At 39.8% G+C, this 11,960-nt stretch overlaps 1 protein-coding gene across 13 annotated transcripts in view; it reads right to left on the minus strand.

Moving 5' to 3' along the window:
• Positions 1 to 11,722, minus strand: part of RGS22 (regulator of G protein signaling 22) — a 145,114-nt gene extending 133,392 nt beyond the window's left edge. For 11 of the 13 annotated variants that reach the window (NM_001286692.2, XM_017013310.3, XM_017013309.3 and 8 more), the window contains exons 1-2: positions 11,570 to 11,722; positions 11,047 to 11,075 (exon numbers count right to left, since the gene is read on the minus strand). In NM_001286692.2, the coding sequence (NP_001273621.1) occupies positions 11,047 to 11,075; positions 11,570 to 11,594 (54 nt within the window). In that variant the 5' untranslated portion in view covers positions 11,595 to 11,722. Of the gene's footprint in view, positions 1 to 11,046; positions 11,300 to 11,569 lie in introns of those variants that run through there. The other 2 variants (XM_047421679.1, NM_001286693.2) reach the window with 2 other exon arrangements.
• Between the last annotated feature and the right edge of the window lie 238 nt (positions 11,723 to 11,960).

Here is an 11,960-nt window from a genome sequence, read left to right on the forward strand (position 1 = left end):
GTTCACAATATGACACAATGCTATTATTTCCATATGGCTGATTACTTTCTTTTTATACTGGCCAATTTTTAAAAATTTATTGAAGTATATAGTGCTATCAGGAAGACACTATAGCATATTGCACCTACTTTGGAAAGTGGATTTTCAGGGTAATTTCTTTAAGTAATTGCAGCATCAGAAGAGAGTTATAAACAATCACTTATAGAATTTATATCAAGAAACTTACTAGAAACCTTAAAAGATTTAGTTTTCTAAAAATTTCAACTGATTAAAATAACAACAAACTAAGGATTTAATAAATTTACTACCTTAGTAGTAGTACCTTAGTAGCATGTGCTCAAAGAAAGTCCTGATTGGCAAAGTCTAACAAAGCAGAACAAGGCAGATATCCTTTTGGGGGAAGCTATAAGGCATTTAGTAACCTATCAAACTTTACCTTTCAAAGTTACTTTAATAATTCCTACTGTATTTAGTGGACTATCTAGTTTTTGCTAATTCTTATGAGAAAACATCTGAATTCTGGGTAGAAGGCATTGTGCTACAATAAGGGTGGCCAAATTTGGCAGTACTGGATCACATGATCAAAAATCCACAGATGTGAACAGTGAATAGCTTAAATAATTTGCAGTAGTGCAGTACAATCCCTTGTTAGTTTTTCTAAAGTATACATTTCATTTTTAATTTTTAGCCATAATACAGAATATGTATTTCATAGCACCTGGTGGACGTAAGTATTGCCTAGAATTGCCACCTTGTCTGAAATTTCTAATTTTCAGATTCATATATTCATTTCCAGATGTCTTGCACTTCTAAAAGATTCTAACTCAATGAACTATCTGAGATGAGATACCCGTTTTATTTTTGTTTTTGTTTTGAGACAAGGTCTTGCCCCGTCACCCAGGCTGGAGTGCAGTGGTGTGATCTCAGCTCACTGCAACCTCCGCCTCCTGGGTTCAAGTGATTCTCGTGCCTCAGCCTCCTAAGTATCTGGGACTACAGGCACATGCCACCGTGCCCAGCTAATTTTTGTATTTTTTGTAGAGACAATGTTTCACCATGTTGCCCAGGCTGGTCTCGAACTCCTAGCCTCAAGTGATCTGCCCGCCTCGGCCTCCTAAAGTGCTGGGATTACAACCATGAGCCACCATGCTCAGCCCTGTTTTGTTGTTGTTTTTTTCCTTAACGTATTTCAGACAGATAACTTTGAAAGAATAATTAGAAAATGAAATAAAAGATACATATTGCAATCCCAATTTTTTGTTATTAAATTTAACAGATATAAATATACTCTGTCAAACTGCCATAAAGGTTCTAAAAGTTTACTCTAGATTCCTGAGCTCAGCTCATCTCACTACAGACTGATAAGAGTTCTCAGGTGGCAGCAGTAGCACTGCTCTAACCCCTTGGTGACTTGACATTTCCTAGGCATTCAGTCATATCCTTTGGTTTGCACTTACAGAAAACTATGAAAACCTCAGGTATTATCAAATACATCAAAATCAATTATATCTTTTATAAAATTGTGCCTTAATTTCTATCAATATGAAACCTCAGCAATTCCGTTGATATTGGGTAGTTCCACAATGGGAAATAAGTGTTGCCTGCAAGTGCGATCTGCTCAACCCACATCTGGCACCTGAGTGGAAAGGCTTGTCCTTCTCTTAGTAAATAAAGGAACCTATTTTCCCACTGCAGTTTCTAGTTCAATGTGTTCAAAATATCTTGTCACATCACTAAGCAGTCTTGTAAACCCATGAGTATCTGATAAGCTGTTTACACCACAAACCCTTTAATTAAAAAAACAAAATTAAGCCTTGAGCTGAAGAAGTAGCTCAGTCACTCTCAAAGAGTTTCCACAGTCCCATTACTTGGCTATATTAAAATGCTCTAAGTCTCTATGCTTAGGTTTAACATCTTCCAAATAATCAATAAACTGGTGATGGTTAATGGTACAATCAAGAAGAAAATTGAGTTACAATCATTTCCTCCATTACATCATTCCATAAGCCTGACTGCAAAATTTGCAACACAGATTCTCTGTTGAATGAAGGTAGGAACACTTCTTCAGAATTGAATGTACTCTTGAAACCTGTTTTTTCATGTATTACAGGTGTGCCATCTGTGAAAATGAAGTCAGCTTTTCCATTTTTAGTCCAAACTTCTCAAAGGTCTTACTGAAAGAGGGTTAACAAAATAGTTTATGTGTGCTTGCTAATTATGGTAGGTAAAATTTTTTGCTTAAACTTATTTTGCTGCACCTTCAAATCAGATGAACTACAATTTTTTTTTTTTTTGAGACAGGTTCTTGCTCTGTCACTTAGGCGCTTAGCTAATTTAAAAAAAATTTTTTTTTTTTTTTTTGGTACAGACAGGGTCTCACTATATTGCCTATGCTGGTCTTGAACTCCTGGGCTCAAGCAATCCTCCCACCTAGACCTCCCGAAGTGCTGGGATTACAAGCATGAGCCAACACACCCAGCCTAATTTCTTTACAACTCTAAAAGATGCAAGATATACAAAGACACTATAAACAAGGAAGAGGAAATAAGATACAGACAAAAAAACTACAGTCCAAGAAAGAATGTGATACATGCCATAAGGGAATTACAATATAAACTGTTTCTTCCAAAGGAAGGAAAGACGTTATCTGGTAAGATGAATCAGAAGAGACTCAAGTGGGAAAAATGGCATTTGAAATGCATTTCAAATAACTTCAAATTCTGTATTTAGAAATATAAATATGAGGGGCAATAATGCTGAGGACATAGATAAACACGAGCAAAGAAGAGAGGCCAGAAAGCAAGACAGCATAGCAGGTGTCTCTGGGGAATGGGGGCGAGAATCAACTGACAAGGAGCTTGAAGAACTTTCTAGGACTATGAAAATGTTCTATGTATGCACTGGAGTTTGGATTACACAAGTGTATACATTTGTCAAAATTCATCAAATTATCATTCTTTAAATGTTTGCATTTCAGTGTATAAATTGTGCATCAACAAAAGAATCATAAACTAATATTGAATATTATTAATAGTTCATGATACTTATGAAGTATTTACAGGTGAAGTTTATCAATGTCTGTAACTTACTTTGAAATGCATAAAAAATAAGATGGACTGATGGATGATGAGATAGGACAGCTATGTGAAAAAGCAAATGTAACAAAAATTGTGAAATCTTAGTGGTAGGTATATCAGTGTTCACTATACAATTCTTTTAATTCTTATATGTTTAAATTTTTTCCTAGTAAAATGTTTGGAGGAGGGCTTTATGTACAAGGAAATAAGATCAAGTTTCTCTGCACGTTATGGACAGGCTTCTTAGCCTTCTGTGTATTAAATATCAGATTCTCAAATCAGCATCGTTGCCTCTAGAATAAATTCCTGGTTATCTGACCATCTTCTGATTACTACTCTGGAATCCTGTCCACTAAGGGACTGACCTCGGTTCACCGTACTGTCCATCATATGCCAAACCTCATCTTTCCTATTCCTTCTTATCCACACCACCCTATGGGTCAGCCTTCCTAGCCACACCTCATTTAATACAAGGGATCCATTGTTCCCCCAATCTCCAATCCTTTTCTACTACAAAAAGGGCTTATGGTGAAAGCAATTTGGCTCCTGCCCACTGTCCAGCCTTATCTCATACTACACGCTGTGGTCATAGCAATTTTTTTATAGTTCTGCACCTTGGCACATGCTGATTATTCTGCCCAGAAAAATTTTCCCCTTTATTCACGTACCTATCTTTTTTCTTCTCCAGAAGTCTGGAGTAGTGGTCATCTATATTTCCCCTATAAAAACCTTTATCACTTCATACTATAATTGTTTACATGTCTCATCCACTGGATTGTGAACTGGAGGAAAAGGGCTGTTTCCTATTTATTCTTTTAATTTCTCAATGCCTTTAGATAGTAAATGTTTAGAACATTTTTACTGAATAATTGAATGATTACACTGAGGACATGAAACCTAAAGAGAAAAGACTAATAACTTTAAAAAGACTCTAACGAATAATACTAATTAAAAGAAGAGATATTGTCAAAAGAGAAAAGGGTCAGAAAAAGAGAATGCAAGGTGAGACAAGCTCCACAACACATCTTGTTGAAAGTATAGCTTGCCTAGATCAAGGCATTTTTGAAATTTGAAAACCAAAAGCCCGCATATCAGATCCCCACTGGTTTGCAAAATTATATTTTCTTAGAAACAAAGTCTATGAAGGAGGAAGATATTAAAGTGGTTCATGCAATGAGGAGCAAAAGTATGGACTCTGCTTTTATCCTCCAAAGGTTATCATCACAGATTACATCAGTATCTATCCAGAAGCACTTTTCCATCGGGTTTCTGTTCTCTTCTCTCTTCTTCCCTCTTTCTTCCTTCTTCTTCTCTTCTATTCTCTTTTCTCTTCCCTTTCCTTCTCTCTGTCTCTCTCTCTCTCAACAAGTACCCAAAAGGCTTGAGAAGGTGAAGGAAGCTCTGGATGCTCCCCTGCCCCTGACCCCCTTTTATTTTTTTATTTATTTTATTATTTTATTTATTTTATTTTATTTTATTTTATTTTATTTTATTTTATTTTATTTTATTTTATTTTATTTTATTTATTTTTTAATGAAGTCTCGCTCTGTCACCAGGCTGGAGTGCAGTGGCAAAATCTTGGCTCACTGCAACCTCCACCTCCCAGGTTCAAGCGATTATCCTGGCTCAGCCTCCTGAGTAGCTGGGACTACAGGTGCATGCCACCAAGCCCAGCTAGTTTTTGTATTTTTAGTAGAGACGGGGTTTCACCATGTTGGCCAGGATGGTCTGAATCTCCTGACTTCATGATCCACCCGCCTCGGCCTCTCAAAGTGCTGGGATTACAGGTGTGAGCCATTGCGCCTGGCCCAGACTCCCTTTTATCCAATCAATTTTATCCAATCCAATACTTCGAATTATACCTACTAGGCTTAAGACAATCCATTAGGCACAAACACCCTAAGGCTTTCTCCTTGTACAAAGATACTTACAACTCAATAAACTCATTTAAAGCAGAGAGTATCTCACACCCTTGGTCACCTTGTCTCCCATTCTATACTTTACAGGTAAAAAGAGGATGTGGCAAGCTTCTCTAAATCCCAATGTACTTTTAATTCAAACCTCACACTTAAACTATAAACTGCTTATCCTTTTACTGTTTCATATTAAAGGCCATCTCTCTGATCAGAAGGTATGCTACTTTGGGGACTAATGACAATGTTTGTCCCCAGTAGTGTCTAATATGGCCATACCTTGAAAAAGTTGCTTAATGATATACTTATTTACCAACTTATCAATGGGACTGTTAACAGTTTCTGTAGTTCCAAAAAAGCATCAGAGAATTTGATTCCTACTCAGAGTAAAGGATTCCATAGAGATGAAAGAATTCCAAATAGCATAACACTTTACAAAGGACCTCTGGGACCTGTCTTAGTTTCCTAAAGACTTGTTCACAACACTTCTGGCCCCTAGCTCTGCAACCTCTTAAAGAAACAAGAACAGGAGAACGTAGGGGTAGTACTTAGGTCTAGCCCTATCTTCCAGTGTTTCCATATGAAGCTGCCTAGTGTGTCAGCCCCAGTAGGCTCTCACTGTTCATTTAACCCAATTATGTGTAATTTAACATATTTTGTTTGAAAAAAACCACCAAGTGGTCATTAATTGCCAAGTAATTAGTCTTGTTTAGGAGGACTGGAATTATGGACCTTTATTCTATACAGTTGTCCCTTGGTATCCACAGGGGATTGGTTCCAGGACCCCCCACAGACACTGAAATCTGGGGATGTTCAAGTCCCTCATATAAAATGGCATAGTATTTGCATATAACCTACACCCAACCTCCTATGTACTTTAAATCAACTCTAGATTTCTTACAATACCTAATACAATGTAAATGTTATGTAAATGGTTGTTATCCTATATTTTTAAAGTTTGTATTTTTTTCTGATTTTTTTTTTTTTTTTGAGACGTAGTCTCATTCTGTCACCGAGGCTGGAGTGCAATGGCATGATCTGGGCTCACTGCAACCTCCACCTCCTGGGTTCAAGCAATTCTCCTGCTTCAGCCTCCCAAGTAGCTGGTACTACAGGCATGTGCCATCACGTCCAGCTAATTTTTGTATTTTTGGTAGAGACGCAGTTTCACCATGTTGGCCAGGCTGGTCTCGAACTCCTGACCTCAGGTGATCTGCCTGCGACGGCCTCCCAAAGTGCTGGGGTTACAGGTGTGAGCCATTGCACCTGGCCTTTTTCTGAATATTTTCAATCCAAGTTTGGGTGAATCCACAGATGTGGAATCCATGGATATGGAGAGTCAACTATGTTACTGTATGTTAAAATAATGAGAATGTCTTCATGCTTGGGAAATACCCTATGTTTATTATAATTTCATTCAACCTGTAAAAATAACAAAATAGAAATTTGAACAGACTAAAAATTAGTTAAAAATGAATACCACTTTTAACAACTAAAATACAAGTAAATACTGCTTAAAGCTAAAGTTTATCTTAATTTGATAGTAAGATTACAAGGTAGTCTCTTTTTTAACTTTTCCTTTTTTAAACAGCTTTTAATCCAGTTTTAACGTTAATAAAACTGTGGGTTTTCTAAATCAGAAAACCTTCAACAAAATAGATCATTACACTACAATGTTTTTACTCCATAAAGAATTTTCTTTCCTGGATTCCATTTTTTGATGGAAGACTTGATAAAGACTTTTTTTGAAGTCTGGCACACTTACTTGCATAGTTGCAAACTAACTACTTTTAAGGCACAAGAAAAAGATATTATTTTGAATGTAAAAGTCAGGCTCTTAAATCTTCGCTATTAATGCACTCTATTTTAATGATAAAAAAATTTAAGAGTCATTCTCACTTTAAACTTTCTGAATGTGTACCTTACACCTTACTTTAGCTGTAAGTTTAAAGTGACAGTGACTCCTAAATTTCTTTTTTTTTTTTTTGAGATGGAGTCTCGCTCTGTTGCCCAGGCTGGAGTGTGGTGGCGTGATCTCAGCTCGCTGCAACCTCTGCCTCCTGGATTCAAGCGATTCTCCTGCCTCACCCTCCCGAGTTGCTGGGACTACAGGCATGCCCAGCTAATTTTTTTTTTTTTTTTTTTTTTGGTATTTTTAGTAGAGACAAGGTTTCACTGTGTTAACCAGGATGGTCTCGATCTCCTGACTTCATGATCCGCCCACCTTGACCTCCCAAAGTGCTGAGATTACAAGCATGAGCCACTGCGCCCAGCCCTAAATTTTAATGTGTAAATTTTGTAATTCACTCTCACTTTAAACTTTCTCAATGTGTATCTTACACCTAGGTAAAAAATTAAAAATATATACAAGGTATGTGTCCCTAACAAACAAATAATTTATTCTAAATGAGTTATTCTATCCTTTGAGAATGAAGACCCCATGTTGAGGTTCAAATATTATTTTGCAGATGTCTATAACAGCATGGTACTTTTAGATCCACTGAGAAAATACAATATGAAAAAAAAGCTAGTATGAACACAGGAGCACGAAACCAAAAAAAAAAACTACTTAAATAAAATAATAAAATATTTTTCTCATGTAATCAAAAGCAGTTGTAATCATAAGACATTAATCATAAGGCATTGTGGCTTCCCAAATATCAGGGACCCAGGCCCCTCTGATCTTATGTCTCCACCATCCTCAAGATGCCACATCCATCTCATGATTTAAGATGACTGCTTTAGCTCCAGCATCACAACTGTATTCCAGCTGGCAGAAAAGAAGAAAAAGGGCTCATTCTTTCCTTCTACACTTATGTAAGTATTAAAGTTAGAATAGCCCAGCTTCTAACTGTGGCTCAACTAATTACTAGCTGTGTGACCTAAGGGTCCATTATTTGATCTCTATAAACATCAGCTCTCCAGAGAAGTAGGACACAACACTTCTGCCTACATCGTATTGGCCAGAATTTGGTTCTGTGACCATGTTTGGCTGCAAGGGAAACTAGAAAATGTAGTCTTAATTTGGGATAGCAATGGGTCTGATATCTACCATGGAAAGGAGAGAATGGAGTTTGGGGAACTACAGGTCCGTGACACATTTTTCCTAAGAATACGTAATTTATTAATGAAAACAATACTTTCACACTTTTGAAAAACAGGGGTAAATACATGTGCAAGACATGTTAATTATTTAATCTATAGACAATACTTGGTTGAGCATATGAATTTGAGAATCTGGTTATAAACTGCTCTCAGCTAAAAGATGCTCAGAGCTCACAGGCAGTCTGGATGATGTTAGGTTGGAAAGGCTTCATGGAGGAGATTAGCTGGGCCTTGAAGAATGTGCAAGATTGTGAAATAGATGGGGAAGGGCAACTGAGACAAAATTTGACAGCAAAGGCAAGGAGACAAGTGGGGTATAGTTTGGCTGGGGCAGGAGGCATGTGGATGTACTTTATAAATCAAAAACAGTAAGAATGTTGTCTTTATCACAGAGAAAAGCATTGGGAGGTAAGGTTAAAGAAGGCTGAAAAGTTATAGAAAAGGTTTTGAAGGCTAAAGCAAAGCATTTGACATTTTGGCTTTACCAGTTATGAGATATGTGGCCTCAGGCCCAGTTAGTTAACCACTGTGAACTTCGACCTCCTCTTCTGTGAAATGTAGGCAGTAATAACCACCTAATAGGGTTGTTTTGAGACTAAATACTAGCATGTTGTTAGCATTCAATAAATACTAGCTATTAATAAAAGCTCTGAGCAAGCCAGTAACAAGGTAATGTTTTAAAAAATTAATAGCAATCTGATAGCCAGGGTAAGAGTGATAGGAGAAGGAAAAATCTAAAGGTAGACAGAGCAAAGGAATAGGAAGTAATCTAATACAACTGATGCTCAGGAGCTTGAATTTTATGCTTTAGACAAAGAAAAACTGGAGTTGGCAGAAGGAATATTGGAGGCAATGGTATCAGTTAGGATTACTACCAAAGTCCAGACCCAGGGTGGGGGCCTGAAATGAGACAGTAGTTGTGTGGATGGAGAAAAAGATCTGGCTATGAAAGGAGCTTGGTAAATGATTGCAGGCAGGGGATGAAGAAAAGGGAAGAAAGTCTTTGATGTGAGTGACTGAATGGCCAGTGGCACCACAAACCAAAATAAGAAGTGGAGGAAAGACAGCATAGTGTGGAGGGGCCTGGGGAGAAAAGTTCAGTTTAGACTGTTGACACGGACATTCAGATGATAAAGAGTCCCAATAACCGCTGGATATACAGAGCTGGCATTAAAAGTGGTGTCTGGACTGGAGGTATGGAGATGTGGAAGTCCCACGAAACAGGGGTACTGAAGCTACAGGAGGAGAAGAGGAGCTCACCCAGAGAAAGCCCAGAGAACAGAATCCTGAAGGTCAATACTTTCATGAGAAAAGAAAAAGAGAAGCCAGAAAGGGGGAATAATAATGAAAGATAAGAGAACTCGGAGACAGTGAAACCAAGCCAAGAGAAAGGGAATGCCTAGAGTCTTCAGGCTATCATGAGTTCAAGGATGGGGCCAACACCTAAAATAGTGAACTGTTCAAACAGTAAGTGGCGTGTTGTTGAGTAGTCTTCAGCAGCATGGGAAAAGATTTGCTGGCTTCAGAAATGCTCACCTCCTGCTGGAACTAAGAGTAAATTCAGGAAGGCCTGGAGCAGCTTAAAGAAATTTCCCATTAAAAGCAGAGCTCTGGGCCTGGAACAGTGGCTCGGGCCTGTAATCCCAGCACTTTGGGAGGCCGAGGTGGGTGGATTGCTTGAGCCCAGGAATTCGAGACTGGCCTGGGCAACATGGTGAAACTCTGTCTCTACAAAAAATATAAAAATTAGCCAGGCGTGCTGGCACGTGCCTATAGGGACAGTGACTCAGATGGCTGAGACAGGAAGATCACCTAAGCCCAGGGAAGTCAGGGCTGCAGTGAGTTGTGATGGGGCCACTACACTCCAGCCTGGGTGACAGAGAGAGACCCTGTCTCAAAATATGTGCGTGTGTGTGTGTGTGTGTGTGTGTGTGTGTGTATTTTTTTTTTTCTTAAAGCAGAGCTCTGTCAACATGGCCAGAAGATGGAAGGAATTTCTGACTTGTTCTGTGTACCTCTACCTTCAGTGGCTGTGTGTGTGTATGTGTGTATGTGTAGATGTGTGTGTGTCTGTCTCTCCCAGCAATGGACCAGAGCTCTGGAAAGGTGAATGTGAAAGCCACCCGCGCACACAGGCTTAGCCCTTTCTTCTCTCTTAGTCCCTGCTAGACTGTGAACTTCTTGAGACTTAACCTCAGCATCTAGGACCACACTATGACTATACAATCATGCATGTTTGTTGATTGAAAGCCAAAAGCAAATAAGATAATTAGCCAACAAGAGAAGTAAGTGCTGGAAGACATAAATAAATAATAGAAGTGGTTAGAGCTCTTGGAATCAGACTCAGATCTTGGTAGGAATTAGGCTCTGACAGCTCCTATTTGTCTGTGTAACCTCAGGCAAGTTCCTGAAACACTGTATACAATGGGAATTACAATGGAACCCAGCCTAAATGTAGCACTCACCTAAATGACAATGTATAGGATATATTTAGCAAATACTTTTATTACTTCACCTCTCTAGAAGTCTGAAATGGGAGTATTTAGTACATTTGTAAAGGAATGATAAATTGACCACTCTTTATCCATCAACGCCATTTACTTATGTTTACTCCAACCAGGAAATGCACAGCCACATCATAATACAGCCATGGAGATAAAACTTTCCTCTCATGGAGTCATTAAAGAGTTTAGAGAAATTAAATGAGGCCATTTATGTGAAAGAACTTTAATGATGAACAGCATCCACCATACAAATTAATTGGCCCCTTCTTAAAATTATGTGCCAGATAAAGAATTTAAAAAGATCTTGTACACAGTTATTACAATTGTTACTAAACCAAAACTCTGGCAAAAAGGAGGAAAGAAAACACACAGCTTTCTTCTATGATCTAATATTTGCTATTTTTTTAAAGGCCAAAGAAAAAAATAGCCCCTTGAAATGATACTTACAAATTCTTCTTCTGTAATAGTTGGTGGCTCTGAAACAAGACAAAATATTACATTATCTCCCTCAAATCTGATTTCCTTTGAGTAAATGAAATCATGGGAGACAGCACCTAGCCCTACGTTATACACAGGCAAACGTAGCACATTTCTGGCCCTCTGTTCATTCTCTGTACATGGCTTGCATTTTAAGTTGGAATTCAAGGTGGAAGTGGGAAGGAAAGGCCTCTGGAATCCTGCCTGGTCACTAATTCACTGTGACCCAGGAGTTACCCTTCTTCATAGACGGAACCCTCTATTATTCTACGTACAATATGCAGAATTAAGCGAGATAACGTGGTGCCAGCATAAACCGGCGAGGACGTGAAATTCGTCATAAAATCCAACAGGAGGGCAGTGAAGCCCTTTTTTCTCATGTCTGGGAGCGGGGATACCGCTAGGAGGGCAGGAGGTAAAGTCCAGAGGCTGGCGCGTGGTGCGGCCCCGACGCCGCGGGCTGATCCTCTGTCCCTGTGGGGCCGCCACCTACCCGCGGTGAGCCTCTTCTCGGGCATGCCGTCCCCGCTGCCCGCGCCTGGAGCCCGCGCGGGCCGTCAGGGCCCTAGCGCGCGGGTCCAGCGCGGGTCAGGGCCTGAGCGACGCGGCGACGGCGCGCGGGCTCCGGAGCTACGCTGGCTAGCGTGGCCGGCGCCGCGCCGGGGTTGCTATGGAGCTTAGACAATACGGCCGCCCAGGGAGGCCGAGGCCGGCCACTCAGGTGCCTTTCGGGGTTCCCAAGCTGCGACGGGAACACCCCCGCCGCCCCCTACCCTCCCTTCCTCCTCCTCTGGGCAGGGACCAGCGCGGCGAACGAAGGCTGGGGGCGGACGCGCGTGTGGACCCCCAGCGCGGTCACCCGGAAGGGGCGCCCTGGAGACGCC

The sequence above is a fragment of the Homo sapiens genome, chromosome 8, assembly GCF_000001405.40.
Source record: "Homo sapiens chromosome 8, GRCh38.p14 Primary Assembly".
In the NCBI taxonomy this organism is placed as follows: domain Eukaryota; kingdom Metazoa; phylum Chordata; class Mammalia; order Primates; family Hominidae; genus Homo; species Homo sapiens.